At 43.3% G+C, this 19,020-nt stretch overlaps 1 protein-coding gene and 1 pseudogene across 1 annotated transcript in view; both read right to left on the bottom strand.

Moving 5' to 3' along the window:
• The window catches only part of SPON1 (spondin 1), a 305,411-nt gene that overhangs the window by 130,281 nt on the left and 156,110 nt on the right, over nt 1–19,020 (bottom strand). Inside the window, exon 6 of the mRNA NM_006108.4 lies at nt 2,285–2,433. Coding sequence (NP_006099.2) covers nt 2,285–2,433 — 149 coding nt within the window. The remainder of the gene's footprint in view (nt 1–2,284; nt 2,434–19,020) is intronic.
• On the bottom strand, nt 2,753–2,867 carry RNA5SP332 (RNA, 5S ribosomal pseudogene 332; annotated as a pseudogene).

The raw sequence follows: 19,020 nt of genomic DNA, 5'->3' as shown, positions 1-19,020 counted from the left end.
GCAGAGGCCAGATTCAGAGGCTGGCAAGAGGAATTTCTCTGTGGGGCAGCTGTGTGGGACAGGGAAATTATACAGGTAGGCCTGGCTTCAGGGGCAGGTGACCCATGCAGGCTCACAGGACCCCATGCTATGAAATTCACGGTACTGCCATCTTGAGATTCTCAACAAGTTTCAAACAAGTGGCCTCAGGTTTACACGGAGCAGATTATATGTCTAGTACTGTCTGGGCTTTGGAGCCAGACAGACTTAGGTTTAAGTCCTGGTATTCTCTGCTGTTGACCATGCCTTGGTTTCCTTATCTGTAAAACTGGGATAATAATAGCATCCTCAGCCTAGATGTGAGGGGGGCGAAAAGTAGATATCCAGCACCCAGGGGGCCTGAAAGGTGGTGACAGGCACTGAGATATGTTCATTCCCATGTGCGGTACCCATAATTAAACTTATTATTACGACTGTTTGTCTGAAACACTAGCCAGCTGGGATAGGCAGACAGACATTGCCTGTGTGGTAATACAAGCCAATCACAGCCATGCTGATTAGGAACATACCAAAGAACTTTTTCCTAAGAGGGATTCTGAGGCTGGCAGTGGTGGTGGTGGGGGGTCCCATCCATGAGTTTTCAATCTTTTTATTGCTATGACATGTCAGATAATGTTCACCAGCACAATATAGTTCCAGTTATGTATGATTCCTGCAGGATTCTTTCTTTTCCAGAAACCTCTCAAGAAAGCCAACAAGTGAGACTGACATTATTATGAAGATGCCCTTGACCCTGATGTAATTAACTGGCAAACTTTAGTATTTCAACTACTATTTGTAACAAAAGGTTTTCAAGATTCCACACCATGGAGCTTGACAAATCAGGGAGGCATAATTCCATACTTGAGAACTGGGAATGTGAACCTCCAGGATCCCAAACAATGGTTCCCCCATGATAGGCCAGACAGACTAGCACCAATATAGAGCCCTGCATGACTTTGCCATAGTCTGAAGGAGTGATGCCAATTATGAGGCATGGCAGCCAGAGTCAGAGAAACAGAGCATAGTTAGATAGCTCATCTTGGATGAATAGCATGCACTCTTAAAACATCTGGTCAAACATCTTTTTTTCCAAGAAAGGAGGAAAGACTTCAAATCAAATTAATAAGAAACATAAGCTCATTCTGGGGCATTTTTCGACTCTAGTCCAAACTGATTCCTCAGGGGATTTATAGCAGGAGTCAGAGTGACCTTTGTTGCCTCCAATTTAGGGTCTGTGGGCAGCTTGGAGTCCAGATGGTGGGGAACACTGCGGGCCTCAGCTGTGCTTGCCCTGCTGTGCTGCTCAGGCCTCTGGGCACATGCAGACTGTGAGATGGGGTCCCTGGTGTTTTCTTAGCCTCCTGCATTGTTTCAGGAGATGTGGGACAGGAGCACAGGGAGGGCAACAGCCTCTCAGTGACCTGTGTTGTAAAATGATCACATCCCAAGCATGCTTTGCTCTTTCCTTACTTCCTCCAGAGCACTTGGTGGGCAGTGGGACATGCTGCCATGTGCTCTCTCAGGCTGGACAGGCTTTTGTGGGTAGTGATGGCTAAAGCTGCACTGCCATGTCTTGCAGCAAACCACCACTGAGCCACGTGGCTCTTCTTCCAAGGTTCTCTCATTAGCCTCTCTCTGGTGTCAACCTGATTAGGCTTTTGATGAAGGACGATGGCACTGTCAGCCAAATGAATTGATAAGAATTATGGACTTTTTCTCCCTTATCTCACAGAGGTATCAGTGAAGGCCTAGAGAGTGGGACTGCTCCTGGGCCCACACAGCATAGGACACAGAAGATGCCTCAGTCCATAATGATTATGATGAACGAACGACTAATTTATCAAGTACCTCAAGACATAGTTGCAAAAAGCACGTGCCAATACTCAAACATTTATTTTGGGGATTTGGCTGGACAGCTTGACTATTACTCCTCTGACCCTCTCAAAGATCACAGTAAGAAAACCTTAATTCATGGCTTTGACTCTCAGGAGACTAGAGACAAGGCATCCCAACAATATGGCCACAGCAGCAGCATTTAGCACAGGCTGAAGAAAACATGAATGCAGTCAGGGACAATCTGAGACAACAAAATGGATATTTGTGCCTCTGTCTGTCCTCTACTTAACATAAAACCCCCAAACTCAGCAAATAGATTTTCTTCCACCACATTGTACTGCAAATTTCAAGCCCCTGGGAAAGATATCTAAGGAGTGCTTTGACTGCATTTCTGTTATTTGGTCATTCTGTGATTTTTTTGTCTTACCTGTTGTCGAATTTCTTCCTCCATTTTCACGGGTGAGCCCAATTCTGCAACTTGTTTGACGCCTTCGCTGGCATATCCTCCATATTCCCACAGTACATAATTCTTGGAGTGGGATCCTCCGATGATCGCAGACCAGTGGTTGGCCCGACCTGGGAAAGCCAATCAGGAGGCAGTTATCAGCATGGCTGTGGCTGAAACACGAGTCCCTTAAATGATGGGGAGGATGCGTAATTGGACATCGATTCAAAGAGCACTGACTAAGCACCTATTCTGTCTTAGGCCCTGTGCCATTCAGTGATAAGACTGAGTTCCTATAAGCAAATAGGTCTTGGGAATGTACAGACAGGTCAACAGCAGATGTTGAACAAGACGCAGAGGCAGCCCAGAGATGCGTTCTGTCTAGGAAGGTCTCAGAGAAGGGGATAGTTGAGAGAACGTTAAAGGCTGATCATATTTGTAAGGCAAAATAGAGTAGAAAGGACTGTTCTGGCAGACTCCCATCCAAGTGCTAACCAGGCTTGACCCTGCTTAGCTTCTGAGATCAGACAAGATTGGGTGCATTCAGGGTGGTATAGCCATAGACCAGACTCAGAAACATTAAATAACATTGTGTGTTTGGAGAGTCATAACTAATTCAGCATTGCTGTGTCACAAACTGTCAAGGGGAAAGTTAGGAGATGATGCCAGGGAGGTAGGAAGAAGCTGGCTCATGAATGGCCTTGCTCTAAATGCTTCAGGAGTTTGGATGTCATTTGAAAGGATCTGAGAACCACTGAAGGGTTCTGGCAGAGGAGTGATATAATTGCATTTGAATTTTAGATAAATCATCCAGACAGCAGTGTGAAGAATGCATTGGAGAGAGCACAGTTGGAGTGGAGAGCTGGAGAGGTAAGCAAGGAGCAAAAGATAAAAGAAATGTGTGGGGACCAGCCTTAGAAGTAAACATGGTTGATTTCAGCTGACTTCTATGTACATTTCAGTACAAGGGGCAGGCAGGTTAGCTATATTTAAAGGATGTGATGGACAGTTTGGATATGTGGAAGTGACCAGTCCACAGTGGTTTGGTGAAGATCACATGGGATGGTGGCTGCAGTGGGATGTGGGAGGGAATTAATGCACAACACAACAGCATGGGAAAACAGAGTAAGATCTGGGCTGGAGCAAGACAGAACTTGACTTGAGGATTTTATTTAAGTCCTGGAGGAAGAAGGAACTGATAGTATCAGCACCTTACTGGATTTGTTTTTTACATGTGATGAATACAGATGCATATACATTTATTATTGACTAAGTTACATATAATTAGTTCATCACACAGTTGGCTCAATTCTCAGCCATTCTTTGGTTGGTTAAACAAAGTCTCAAGTTAAATAACATTTTCAGGCATATCAAAGAGGAAAACTTGAACTGGGTGAACCCAACTAACATTTTCAGTTTCCCATCCTGTGGCCCAGAGTGGGCAGAACTCTTCACCCCATTACTGCCTATTTTAATAAACACTCTTGAAAAAAGAAAAAAAAAAAAAAGAAAGAAAGAAAGTGGTTCTGAACATGGCCTGGTTCTGTTTACAGCTCACATCGCTTCCCCATGGCCCTCTGCTCCAGGGCCACATCAAGAACATAGGTGTAAAGCCAGGCCGCACCTTCCTGGCCTGCTGAGGGCAGCCACGGCCCACCCCAGGCAGAGGACATCACCATGCGGGTTTGCCCAATTGCTTGTTCATTATTTCCTACACATCGGGAAAATGCAGACCCCATGTTTATCCTTCATCTCTCATATCCCTAGAGTAGACAGATAGAGATGCTGCCAGCCGTTTCTCTAACTCATTTCCTGGGTGAAGAGTCCTAGCCGTCATCAAAGCCAAAGTACACTTGTGTAGGGGCAATGGCTGGTAACCAGTAATGGCCTTAGGTTCGTGATGTGGACACAGAGTGAAGCAGCTTCAGAAACTCTTGCTCTCCCTGCCCTTCTCCACCAAAATACTCCTTGTTCTAGGCGTGTCCTGCCTGCAATTCTGTACCTTAGTGCAGAATTACCATATGCTCTTTGCTCTGTACTCTCCTCTTGTTTGGCTTAGCCAACTCCCATTCCTCCTTTATAAAATACTCAGAAGTTACTCAAGACCACCACAAGCCAACCTAAACTTTTGTCTTCTGTCTTGCCATAGCACAAATCACATTTATTATCACTCTTACAGTCTGTTATCTCACTAGGCTGAACGTTTCTTGAGGGAGCCTGACTTCAGCCCAACACCTAGTGCTGTGCCTAGTGTGTTGTTAGTGCTCAGTATATGTTTCCAGAAGCATTTCATCCAAACAATCAAATGGGAGGGCAGCAGTATATGCACTTGACATAGTTGGGAACAGGCTTGCACAGATTTGATTCACCGTGATTAAATTCAAGTCTTATTTCAGCAGAGTTCCTGACACCTGCTAGGCTAAGGCAGTATCCTATGTGCTGTTAAAAAACAAAAAGCAACAACAAAAAAGAAAGGCATTGGTCTTAGAGCCAGCAGACAGGGACTGAAATCCTAGCATTACCACTTACTGGCTTTGTAAACTTGGTTAAATTCAATTACTTTATTTCCCTGAGTCTCAGTTCCCTCGTTTGTAATTCAGGGATGATAATGCCTACCTTATCAACCTATTATGAGAATTAAATTAAATTATTTAAAAGTGAGATAATATATTGAAATCACTACTGGCACACAATAGACAGTCAATAATTATAGTTTCTTCCTTTCATGGTTGGTAGGGAGGCTACAAAACTGAGTAAAACATGAAACTTGCCTTTAATTCAGTATAAGAGATAAGAAATATGTATGATAAGATAATGGGAACATGTACAATCCTAGGGGATTAGGGGAGGGACCCAGATGGAGTTTTCTGGCTTATTCTTGTAACTTCCATTATGTGCCAAGCACAGTGGCGGGCCCTGGACACTGAGGAGGACTGGATATGGTGTTGCCCTGAAGGGACTCACAGTCTGGGGGCAGGGGAAACAGATGGATAAGCGGATTAATTACAATCCACTGTGGTCAGGGTTTTTTATAGCACAAGAATGCAGAGCACAGAGGATGGAGCAGCTAACTCCAAATTCCCCAGATCCAAGGAATCAAAGTCCAAAGGCACGAGTGCAGAGAAACAGGCACCTCAAGCGTGGGACCTATCTTTATGGTTCTCTCTCTTAAATAAAATTTAATTACACAAGTTCAACCTCCTAGCCAATACAGCTGTTAGTTTCCTACAATGGCCTTACAACATAACATATTAATTCAATTTTTTTTTTTTTGAGACGGAGTCTTGTACTGTTGCCTGGGCTAGAGTGTAGTGGCAGAATCTCAGCTCACTGCAACCTCTGCCTCCCAGGTTCAAGCGATTCTCTTGCCTCAGCCTCCCTAGTAGCTGGGATTACAGGCGTCCGCCACCACGCCCAGCTAATTTTTTGTATTGTTAGTAGAGACGGGGTTTCACCATGTTGGCCAGGCTGGTCTCAAACTCCTGACCTTGTGATTTGCCCGCCTTGGCCTCCCACAGTGTTGGGATTACAGGCGTGAGCCACTGCGCCCGACCTAATTCAAATTTTTAACACATTTAATGACATCAACCAAATAACAGATATTTGTAAGGCACTTGGCCAGGGGGAAGGAATAAGACTATGTCGCTGCCCTCGGGGGACAAGACAGGCACCTATGGAAAAACAATTTGCAACATTACAAAGGGTATTGATGTCAGGTGAGCAGCAGTCATTCAGGTGCAAAATGGTGCAGGGAAGAAAGGCATGGTGACCAGGAGCCAGAAGACTCTGGCTCCAGGCCCCATTTATAACCACAAACCAGTCATTCAATCTCTCAGAGCCTCAGTTTCCCTTTAAGAAATAGAAATAATAATTACCAAGCTGGAGAATCTCCCAGAGTTGTACAAATTAATTGAGATAGTTTTCGAAAGAATTGTGAAAGCTGTAAAGAGTTGTACAAAACAAAGCTCTCAGTATTATTACAGATATGAAGCACCAATCCAAAAGAAGGTGGTGGAGCAAGGGAACTTTCCAGTTGGAAGGAGGGTGCCTAGAGATGTAAAGAAATAGATAGAAAAGGGGATAGTTTGCCGGGCGCAGGACTGGCAGGCTAGTCGGAGCAGGGATTCAATGAACAATACAGATGCTAGGCTCAAACATCTAATAGGTGTTAGGATGATGATCTCCTATGTGTAATCCTCACCATAACCTTATCCTCATGTTACATACGAAGAAACTGAGGCCCAGAGAGCTTAAGGAATCAGCCCAAGCTCACAGAGCAAGGAAGGAGCAAAACTGAGGTTCAAGCCCAGGTCTGCCTGACTCCAGAACACACGTTCATCTCCCTACATCCCACTGTGAGGTCATGATACAGAAGAGACGATTGGATGGACTCTAGAAACAAAGAAATTAGATGAAAAAGAACTTCAGGGCTAGGTTGTGGTGGGTGCTGAGTGCCGATGGTGGTAAATGGCATTGGAAAAGGGGGAAACATGATCAAAAGTTCCTCCTGCGAAGAATGACATAACAATAGTTAACATGTATTAAGCTGATATGGTTTGGCTCTGTGTTGTGTTTGTTCTCAAACCTCCTTATACCAGTTATTCTGACACTGTGCTTACATAATTTAGTTAAATCTTTTGAAATTGATGAGATATGAGTGAGAAAAGGAAGGCATTTTTTATGACTGCTCTGAAAGGACTCAACAGAGGCAAGTTGCTGAAAATAATATATAATTAGGTGAGAGCAAGATATCTGTAAAAGATTGGGAAAAGTTGTAAAACTCAGGAGTTCTATACTCAGAAGGTTCTGCAAGTATCTTTAAGTACAGATTCATTTTCAAGAAGCCTAAACTGGAAATCAGGGGTGATAAATTATTGGCATGATTTATATTTCTGATTGAAGGTACACTTATCTGATTTAATTTAAACTATTTGACAATAGTTTTGACAACTTGCCTCTGTTGAGTCCTTTCAGAGCAGCCATAAAAAATGCCTTCCTTTTCTCACTCATATCTCATCAATTTCAAAAGATTTAACTAAATTATGTAAGCACAATGTCAGAATAACTGGTATAAGGGGGTTTGAGAACAAACACAACACAGAGACAAACCATATCAGCCTAATACATGTTAACTATTGTTATGTCATTCTTCGCAGGAGGAACTTTTGATCATGTTTCCCCCTTTTCCAATGCCATTTACCACCAAGGGCACTCAGCACCCACCACAACCTAGCCCTGAAATTCTTTTTCATCTAATTTCTTTGTTTCCAGAGTCCATCCAATCATCTCTTCTGTATCATGACCTCACAGTGGGATGTAGGGAGATGAACATGTGTTCTGGAGTCAGGCAGACCTGGGCTTGAACCTCAGTTTTGCTCCTTCCTTGCTCTGTGAGCTTGGGCTGATTCCTTAAGCTCTCTGGGCCTCAGTTTCTTCATATGTAACATGAGGATAAGGTTATAGTGAGGATTGACTATTTGATGATTGACTATTTGACTATTGACTATTGACCTGAATTTCATCCCGAGTTGTAATTCCCACATGTCACAGGAGAGATTTGGTGGGAGGTCATGAAAGCAGTTTCCCTTATGCTGTTCTCATGATAGTGAGTGAGTTCTCATGAGATCTGATGGTTTGAAAGTGTGTGGCAGTACCCCCTTCATTCTTGCTGTCTCCTGCTGCCTTGTGAAGAAGGCGCCTGCTTCTCCTTCACCTTCTGCCATGATTGTAAGTTTCCTGAGGCCTCCCCAGCCATGTCGAACTGTTAGTCAATTAAACTTCTTTTATTTATAAATTACCGAGTCGCAGGTAGTTCTTTATAGCAGTGTGAAAATGGACTAATATAGAAAATTGGTACCCAAAGTGGGGCACTGCTATAAAGATACCTGAAAATGTGGAAGCAACTTTGGAAGCAGGTAACAGGCAGAGGTTGGAGCAGTTTGGAGGGCTCACAAGAAGACAGGAAGATGTGGGATAGATTGGAACTTCCTGGAGATTTGTTGAGTGAATTTGACCAAAATCCTGATAGTGATATGGACAATGAAGTCCAGGTTGAAGTGGTCTCAGATAAAAGTAAGAAACTTCTTGGGAACGGGAGTAAACGTTACATTTGCTACACTTTAGCAAAGGGAGCGGCAGCATTTTTCTTCTGCTCTAGAGATCTGTGGAACTTTCAACTTGAAAGAGAGGATTTATGGTATCTAGCAGCAGAAATTTCTAAGTAGCAAAGCATTTAAGATTTGACCTGGTTGATTCTAAAAGCATATAGTCATATGCATTCACAAAGAGATGGTCTGAAATTGGAACTTATGTTTAAAAGGGAAGCAGGGCATAAAAGTTTGGAAAATTTGCAGCCTATGTGGTAAGAAAAAAAAAACATTTTCTGGGGAGAAATTCAAGAGAAATTTGCATAAGTAAAAAGCCAAATGTTAATAGTCAAGACAATGGGGAAAATGTCTCCAAGGGCATTTCAGAGATCTTCACAGCAGCCCCTGCTATCACAGGCTGGGAGACCAAGGAGGGAAAATGGTTTTCTGGGCCAGGCCCAAGGCCCTGCTGGTCTGTGCAGCCTTGGGACATGGTGCCTTCTGTCCCAGCTGCTCAAGCTCCAGCCATGGCTAAAAGGTGCCAAGGTACAGCTCGAGCCATTGCTTTAGAGGGTGCAAGCCCCAAGCCTTGGCTGCTTCTACGTGGTGTTGGGGGTCTGTGGGTACACAGATGGCAAGAATTGAGGTTTGGGGACCTCTGCCTAGATTTCAGAGGATGTATGGAAATGCCTGGATGTCCAGGCAGAAGCCTGCTGCAGGGGCAGAGCCCTCATGGAGAACCTCTAGTAGGGCCATGCAGAGGGGAAATGTGGGGCTGAAGACTCACCACACAGAGTCCCCACTGGGACACTGTCTAGTGGAGGTATGAGAAGAGGGTCATCATCCTTCAGACCCCTGAATGGTAGATTCACTGACAGCTTGCACTGTGTACCTGGAAAAGCTATGGGCAGTCAACACCAGTTTGTGAAAGCATCCGCGGGGGCTGTACCCTGCAGAGCCTCAGGGGTGGAGCTGCCCAAGGCCTCGGGAGCCCACCTCTTACATCGACGTGGCCTGGATATGAGACACAGAGTCAAAGGAGATTATTTTGGAGCTTTAAGATTTAATGACTGCCTTGGGTTTTGGATTTGCATGGGGCCTATAGCCCCTTTGTTTTGGCCAATTTCTCCCATTTGGAATGGGAGCATCTACCCAATTCCTGTATCCTCATTTTACCTTGGAAGTAACTAATTTGCTCTTGATTTTACAGGCTTATAGGCAGAAGGGACTTCCCTTGTCTCAGATGAGACTTTGGACTTGGACTTTTGAGTTAGTGCTGGAATGAGTTGAGACTTTGGGGGACTGTTGGGAAGGCATGATTGTGTTTTGAAATGTGAGAAAGACATGAGATTTGGGAGGGTCCAGAGACAGAATGATATGGTTTGGCTCTGTGTCTCCACCCAAATCTCATCTCAAGTTGTAATTCCCACATGTCGAGGGAGGGACCTGGTGAGAGGTGATTGGATCATGGGGGTGATATCCCTTATGCTGTTCTCATGATAGTGAGTTCTTATTATATATGATAGCTTAAAAGTGTGTGGCAGTTTCCCCTTTACTCTTGCTCTCTCCTGCCACCTTGTGAAGAAGGTGCTTGCTTGTCTTTCACCTTCTGCCATGACTGTAAGTTTCCTGAGGCCTCCCCAGCCATGCGGAACTGTGAGTCAATTACACCTCTTTTTACATTAGAGTCTCAGGTAGTTCTTTATATCATGTGAAAATGGACTAATACACGAGACTTTACTATGTGTCAGGCACAATGCCAAGGTCTCGACCTATGTTATCTCATTAAACGCTCAAAAAGAAAACTGTTAATACAGATGCTATTCTCATTCAGTTAACCCAAAAATGCAGAGGCAGGCGAGTTATGACACTGGGATTCAAAGTTGAGTCAAAGAGCCAAAGACCAGCTCTTCTCTGCTGCATGGTACCATACCTTTGGTAGGACATACCCAGGGATAGGAAGGGAGAGGGTCTGAAGGTGAGGAGACCAAATAGAAGGCCCTTTGACATTCCCTTCATGAATCATGCAGTGTCTGACTTAGGGCAGTGGTAGGGGGAATGGGGACAAGGGGCCAGGAGTGTGAGACAATAAGACAGAAGACTGAACAGTCCTTGGGAGGCATTTTGGTAAAGTAGTTAAAACTGGGTTTTTTTTTTTTTTTCGGAGGTCAGATCTATGTATATTCTAGTCTTGGTTCTGAAACTTTCTACATTAAACACATCAGTTAGTCACTCTCAATCTCAGTTTCTTCATCTGTAAAATAGGGATAGTAATATGATCAGCCTCCTAGTGTTGTTCCAAGGCTGAAGTCCATGAAATAGTGACTAGTGGCTGGCGCATAAAATAGGGTCAATAAATATTAGCTAGTAAAATTAAATCTAAATAGAGCAGGGAAAATGCAGACACATTTCTGTAAGGCATGGTAACCAAAGAGAATCTGATTGGGTGATTGGGGAGGGGTGTGGAGATGACAGGAATGTCACATGCAAGGATCTGAATCTGAAAAAAGGAGTCAAGGAATCATCTAAATGGGACTCTGATCTGGGGCCTGCAGAATGAGGTGGTTAAGCAGATCTCAGTTAGCTGGGACACGAGAAAGTTTACACCTGGGCCCCACATCCTCTAGTAAATAGAGGAGGAGAGAGAAAAGACTCAGGTATCAGGAGGGCTGGGAAAAAGGAGACGAGGTTAAAGCTTGTGGCCTTAAAGGAAAACTCAGAGCCTCTGGAGTCTTTGGTGAAACACTGGGAACTCAGACCTAGGGGGAAGCGGCAGACTATCACTATCCTTTTTGGCTTTCAGGTAAGGACATGGCTTTTTGATTTTGCATGTCCCTCACTGGTTCCAGCAGAGTTCAAGTAGCCTCTCTGGGTTTATTTATTTATTCCCAATAGCTTAGATGAGGCCCAGAGGTGGGGGGAAGCTGGGAGGAAGAAATAATTAGACATGTAAGTTTGAGATACTGATGGCCAACCAGGTGCATTTGTCTAAAAAGCTACTCCAGGGAGATAATTTTGAGTATATGTGTAGTAACCTCTTTCCTAACATCCTTTCTGCTGTCATCATTGGTACTAAATTGCCAGCATTCACAATGATGCTTAAAACACCAGTGCTAATCAAATAATTCTGTCTGATATTTTATCTAGTGTTGAAGGAGACAGGGTGCATGGTAGATAGATTCTCTGAGGTGTTCTGCACATGGCAGAGTGATGGTTAATTTTATATGTCAACCTGACTGGGCTATGGGGAGGGCAGACATTTGATCAAAGTAGTTATGTCTATGAGGGTGTTCTGGATGAATATTTGAATTGGTAGAGTAAAACAGACTGCTCTCCCTATTGTGGGTGGGCCCTATCTAGTCAGCTGAAGACCTGAATAGAACATAAAAGGCAGACTCTCCCTGGAGGAAGAGGAAATGCCTTCTGCCTAACTGCCTTTAAGCTGGAACCTTGCTTTTTTCCCCCTGCCTTTGGACTTAAACTAAAACACTGGCTTTTCCTGGGTCTTCAGCCTACTGGCCTTAGGACTGGAACTGAACCATCAACAATCCTGGTTCCCAGGCCTTCACACTGAGACTGGAACTATACCATTGGTTCCCCTAGGACTCCAGCTTGCTAACTGCATTGTCTTGGGACTTCTCAGCCTCTGTACTCAGGTTAGCCACATCCTTATAAATCTCTTCACCACCGCCCTGCCCCGCCACATACCCTATTGATTTTATTTCTTAGGAGAACCCTGACTAATACAACAGGTATTCAGTGACTATCTGGATCTCCTGGCCAGTGGCTGCATTCCCCTGCCAATCCCAATTCTGCAGCAAGCCACCTATTCATTTCCTTGATACTCATTCATAATGCTTCTCTACAGAATGTCCTACAACCTTAGTGATTAGATTGCTGCAACCTTCTGTTGTCTAACCTCAGCCTCACCCATAGTACTTTTCAGCAAATCTTTGTTTTGAGCCCTGATTGGGCCCTTATGGAATCTGCTATAGTAGTTATATATGACAGATCTCCTCCAGCCTCTAAGTTCTAGGCTCCCCTCCTCCTTTTATTTCTTAGTAGATGAACTGGTCACTTAACTCTTCTGAAAAAGCCAAGGTTAACCCATCTACAGACTCATCCATGCACAATGTGGCCAGTGACCAACAGAAAAGTATTGTGGACCTGCCAGTTGTATTCATAAAAGTTGTTTTGGATCTCACATCCCTCTTGCCCTTGTTATTTTCATGCTAGATGCAGTTCTAGAACCTGCCTGGTTTCTGACACTTTGAATTTGGCTGCAAAACATGCCTTCTGCGGGTTTGCGCCTGGGTGCTGCCCAGGACACAGCTTGTACTTGTCCTTTGGCATTCTCTGTTCTTGGCTGCCTTGGGAACTCACTCTGACCAGACCATTCTGGTTTTCAGGTTCCCATCCCAGAATGGCCTCCTGGCAAAAGCCATGCATGGGGAAGTCTGTCATTTAGGCCAGAAATCCCCCAGTTTTCTATTATCCTGCCTTCTTCACTCCACTGTCTTTTTTTCCTTCCCTAGGGCCTCAAGGAAAGTGCCACTTTTCCGTTCCCAGGAAAACTCTTGCACTTATAAAATTGATTACATTATTTTCTATTTCTTCTGAGGCCTCCAATAATAATATTTTATTAATTCATTCAATGAATATTTACTGGGATTATACTATGTGCTAGTCCAAGGATCAGTAAGCTACAGTTGCCTGTTTCTATTTCAATAAAGTCTTATATTTTATGTATTATCTATTGTTTATGGCCACTTTCATGCTACAACGGCAGAGTTGAGTAGTTACAGCTGAAGATGTCTGGCCTACAATCTCTAAAATATTTACTGTTTGGCCCTTCATACAAAAAGTTTCAAAACCTGTGCCAGGTCATAGAGACACTGAGATGACTCAGACTTGATCCCGGTCTTAGAGATGTTCTGTCTGGAGGGTGGGGTGTGAAGGGCATGGAAGATAGGTCATAACAGGCAATTACAATAAAGCGTGGGTGATACAACTTTGATAAAGGCAAACACAGAATGTCACAGCACAAATAAGGGGGCACTTAACCCAGATGGTTCCAGAGGAGGTGTCCTGGAGGAGATGGCAGGTGAGCTAAATTCTGAAGGATAAGTAGCAGTTAGGAAGGCAGGTAGGGAGTTGGGGGAAGGTTATTTTTGTAGACAAAATAATAGATGCAAAAGCAGAGGCATAAGAAAAAGCTAGAGATATGTGTAAGACTACGAGTAGGTCATGGTAGTGTGTGCGTGTGTGTGTGTGTGTGAGTGTGTGTGTATAAAGACTGGATGATCAGTGATGAGATCAGTCAGCCAGGCAGATCATGATAGGATATGACTGTCTTAATAGAAACATTTTATCTTTAAGGCAATGTGAAGCAGAGAAGAGAATAAGATAGTCCTGTCTATAGACAACTCCCAGATCTGCATATGCTCACTTGACTTCTGCTTCTGACTCTGATTAAGTAAGTGGCACTGCATTAGCCCTCTGGACATAAATAACTATAAGTGGGCAAAATATATTAAGCACCAGTTTTCGGATGTTGGAAAACAGACCGCAAAGGACTATGATCACTGACAGAAGGGAAACACAAGAGATGAGCCCGTGTTTGCCCAGGCTTTCTGCCACAGACACTTTCTTGTTTGTGGTGCAGGAAGGTGGAGTAGAACTGACCATGGTAAACTGTCTGAGCTGAGGAGGTAGAGGTAAGAATTTGGGGCAATTAAAGTAGATAGGATTTATGGGCTAGAATGCCAGAGAGGAGGAAGCTGCATGGAGATGGAACTTCAGAATATGCATAGAAGTCCCCTTAAATCTTTGACCAAACACTAAGCTTCACTTGTGCAGGGTGACACTTTACAAGGCCTGGCAGAGAACAGCCCCTGGGGAGCTAAGAGCTGAATAGAGATTCTAGAGGTCACACAATGCTAGAGATATAAAATATCTACCCATCCATGTTAGAGAGAACTTGCTGAACACTATATGTTCAACTGAAACCCTAGAAAGGCTACAATTTAGTAGCAAAACTACATTAGCCCTAGAGTAAAGGCTACTCTAGACTTACCCCAACACAGCTTAGAAAACAGGCCTGGGAAAGGAATGAAGCAGATCCATCAGTAAATTAACCATTTGTCATACTCTTTAAAGGAAGATAAAAAATCCAGACACTCAACAATGTAGTATTTACAATGTCCATCATGCAATAAAAAATTTCTAGACATGGCTGGGCATGGTGCTCATGCCTGTAATCCCAGCACTTTGGGAGGCCTAGGTGAGAGGATCACTTGAGCACAGGAGTTTGAGATCAACCTGGGCAACATAGTGAGGCCTCATCTCTACAAAATTTTTTTAAAAACTAGCTGGGCATGGTGGTGCCTGCCTGTAGTCACAGATACTCCAGAGGCTGAGGTGGGAGGATCACTTGGTCCAGGAGTTCAAGGTTGAAGTGAGCTATGATTGCCACTCTATTCCAGCCTGGGTGACAGAAGGAGATCCTGTCTCAAAAAAAAAAAAAAAAAATTACAAGAGCAGTATAAAGGCAGGAAATGTAACCCCAAATCAGGAAAAAGCCCCACAGTCAATAACAGGAGTTCCTGAGATGACTGACATGTGGAACTAACGTACAAGAACTTTAAAACAGCTATTATCAATATGTTCAAGGATTTAAAGATGGACATAATGAGTGAACAGATAGGGAATTTTGGTAGATAAATAAAAACTATTTTAAAAAGCTCTGATGGAAATTTCAGAAGTGAAAAATATAATATCTGTATTTGAACACAGCAAAGGAAAAGATCAGTGAACTAAAAGATAGGGTGATGAAAACAATTCAAAATGAAGCACAGAGAAAAATGGGCTGAAAAAAATGAACTAGGGTATAAATGACTGTGGAATAAAAACAAGTGGTTTAACATAGTGGTAATTGGAGTTCCAGAAGGAGAGAATAGATAGATTGAGTTAGAAAAATATTTGAAGAGACAGGCCGGGCACAGTGGCTCACGCCTGTAATCCCAGCACTTTGGGAGGCTGAGGCGGGCAGATCACGAGGTCAGGAGATCAAGACCATCCTGGCTAACACGGTGAAACCCTGTCTCTACTAAAAATACAAAAAAGTAGCCAGGCCTGGTGGCGGGCGCCTGTAGTCCCAGTTACTCAGGCGGCTGAGGCAGGAGAATGGTATGAACCTGGGAGGTAGAGCTTGCAGTGGGCCGAGATCGTGCACTGCACTCCAGCCTGGGCGACAGAGCAAGACTCCATCTCAAAATAAATAAATAAATAAAAAAAAATATTTTAAGAGACAATGCCTGAAATTCTCCCAAATTTGAAGAAAAATACCAACCTATAGATCCCAGATCAACAAACCCCAAACAGAATAAAAACAAAGAGAATGATGCCTAAGCACATCATAATCTAATAACTAGAGAAAAAGAGAAAATCTTCAAAGCAACAAAAAGCGATAAAAGACACAATGAGGGAAACAAAGATAAGAATGATGACTTGCTTCAAAAACAAGGCAAACTAGAAGACAATGAAATGACAACTTTAAAGCTTAAAAAAAAAAACTGTCAGCCTAGAATTCTGTGTCTTGCAAAGATATCCTTCAAAAATGAGGGTAAAAATAAAACGTTTTTTTAAATAAATGAAAGCTGTGTGAATTTATTATTAGCACATCTGCAGTATATGAAATATTAAAGGAAGTTCTTTAGGCTGAAGGAAAATGAAAACAGATGGAAATACAGATCTACATGAAGGAATAAAGAGTGCTGGAAATGGGAAATATGTGGGTAAGGTGCACCTTTAATCTCTTCTTCACTGAAGAGCTTCTCCCTTTAAGTAAAGAGGTTCAAGTTTTCTCATTCTGGGTGAAAAAAAAATCTTCCATCAATGCTTTGTTCTCACAAAAGCCCATCTTTTGCCTTTCCTGCACCTCCAGGCTTTTCAGGAAGGTCAGTCTGAACCCACTGCTTCCATTTCCTCTCCTTGAATTATCTTCCTTGCAATCTGAACCCGAGCTTATTTTCTCCACCAAATCTTTAAACTGATGTTTGTTCCCCTCTATTCCCACATTTGAACAATTGCTGGGGGGCATTCAGAGGAAAATTACTCTCTATCTTCTTTATTTTCCATTTAAAAATAAAAGTATGCTTTGAATTCAGTAATATTCACCCCTTTTAATGTAAAGTCTAGCAAGTTTTGACAAATGCAGGCAACTACATAGTAACTACTATAATCAAGATAATGAATAGTTGTATTACCTACCCACATTCCCATGTAACAACCCCACCACCACTCCCAGCCCTTGGCAACCTCTGGTTTGTTTTCTGTCCCTATAGTTTTAAGTTTTCCAAGATATAAGTGGTCTCCCACAGTATGTAGCCTTTTGAGTCTGACTTCTTAGCATCATGCATTTGAGATTTATCCATGTTGTTGTATGCATCAGTCCCTCCTTCTTTTCAATTGTCTTGAAAGAAGAAAAGGACCTCCTACTGGCTTAAGGATTTCATCACATTCTTGTTTTCACCATATACTTGCTGTGCAATCTTGAACAAACTATGTAAATTCTCTAAGATCCAGTTTTCTTACCTGTGAAATGGAAATAATAATAGTACCTATCTTCTATGGTTGTGATGGGGTTACGGAAGGAAATCCATATTACAGCCCTTAGCACAGTTCCTGGCACACAAGAAAACATTCAATAATGGTTATTTTAAATATTAATATTTTATTTCTCTAGGAAAGATAGAAATTGGTAGCAAACCAGGACATGCACAGGACCTGTCCATTAGGGTAGGACAAGGTCTTAGAGGACAGCAAGCATTTTAAAGTGAGGTGGTCAGTTCAGGTCATAGTCAGCATTGGGAGTGCAGAGGCCCATTGGGAGGGTGGGCAAGTGGTGGGAAAATGGTGACAGAATGAGTCAGGCACACAGACAGAAGTTTCCAGAAGCAGGCAGTAGGGCTCCTGACATAAGCTGGGGGTGACTGTTCCAGCTCCAGCCTCTGGACTTAGGGTGGGGAACTGACAAGCTGAAAAGGCAGTGAGGGCTAAAGCAACATCCCTGTTTGGAGACTGGGAGGTATATGGGCATGGCCATATTGAGCACAGAGATAATTTAGAAGCCCAGAGAGTAGCCTCAAGGGACCCAGGGCCTGAATCAGGGTTGGAGGCTCTTTAAGTACTTCCTGCCTTGCATAAATATTACCCTGGGAATTGGGAAATAATAATCATTAACATGTAGTGAGACTTTACTATATGCTTACATATTGTTATTTAATCATGGAAATAAACTCATGTTACAGATTAGCAAATTAAAGCACAGACAGATTAAATGACTCACCCAGGGCCACCCAGCTAGTATATGGTAGAGCCAGGATTAGGATCCAGACTGACTCTCTCAAGAGTGGCACTGTCCAGTTTAACTTTCCAAGAAGTTGGAAGTATACTATACTTCACTGTCCAATATGGTAGCCACTTCTCATATGTGGCCACTGAGCACTTAAATGTGGCCAGTGTGACTGAGGAGATAAATTTTAAATTTTATTTAATTTAAATAAACTAATCAATTTAAGTGTATCGAGTGGCTACTGTACTGGACAGTACAGCTCTAGAATTTGGTGTACGTTTGTGTACTGCTAAATATAAGAACCAACTGTGCAGGTAGTCCTTTCTGTCACAAGGGGATGGGAGAGGAAAGACTCTACTGACGACGGGGGACTCTCACAATTGTGTATCACATGTGGCAAGTAGACAGCTTGCAGGAGGAGTCTGCACTTGAACTAAGACTTGGCCTGCAGCAGCTACATTTGGTGCCCTGTATCACAGACTCTCCATCCACCTCCAATTTCAGCCACAACTATGGCAGGCAGCAGTGAGCACTTGCTAATGCTATCAGTGAGTGTCTACCTCAAGGGCCTCTTCCTGTTGACTGACTCATGGCCTTCTCTGAAGCTTTGAGAGTCAATTTAGCCAGCAAGCAAGTGCCTGGGAGTGTGGGGAAGTTCACACTACTGCAGACAACCCTTGGTCAATAGGGGGTGGGTGCTAGTAGAAAATTCTGGAAAGTGGACAATTCTGGACTCATTCTATACACCTCTCAGAGGTACGCTGATGCCAGTGACCTGAATAATGCACTCTTACCTTGACCCTTCCTCCTCCCTTGTCACTCTCTCCCTATTCCTTCACTTCTGCTTCCTCTATCACCTTCTACACGAAGTACCTGCAGTCCTTGCCTCAGATCCTGCTTTTAGGAGAACACAAATTGAGACATGGCTTGTCCAACTAAGATCATGTGTCTGGGCCCAGAGATCCATAAAATAATTGTGGGGATTAGAAAAAAGGCAGTTAGGGATGCTCCTCCTGTTTCCATAAGCATAATATAGGTAATCCTCTACCACCCCTTTATTCAAAGCTAGAGATGTTGTCTTCATTGTCATTGTCTCATCCTCATCAGTATCACTATCATCACAATCACTGCCATTTATTATTGAGCATGTTCCCTGCATCATGTCCTTCACAGGTATCAGCTAATACCCTTCCATTCTCACAGTTGTCTTGCTAGGTAGGTCAGTTACCATCCCCATGTTATGGTGAGAGAACTGAGTTGCAAGTAGGTGGCAGGGC

Source organism: Homo sapiens, chromosome 11, assembly GCF_000001405.40.
Source record: "Homo sapiens chromosome 11, GRCh38.p14 Primary Assembly".
In the NCBI taxonomy this organism is placed as follows: domain Eukaryota; kingdom Metazoa; phylum Chordata; class Mammalia; order Primates; family Hominidae; genus Homo; species Homo sapiens.
This window is presented reverse-complemented; position numbering and strand designations above follow the sequence as displayed.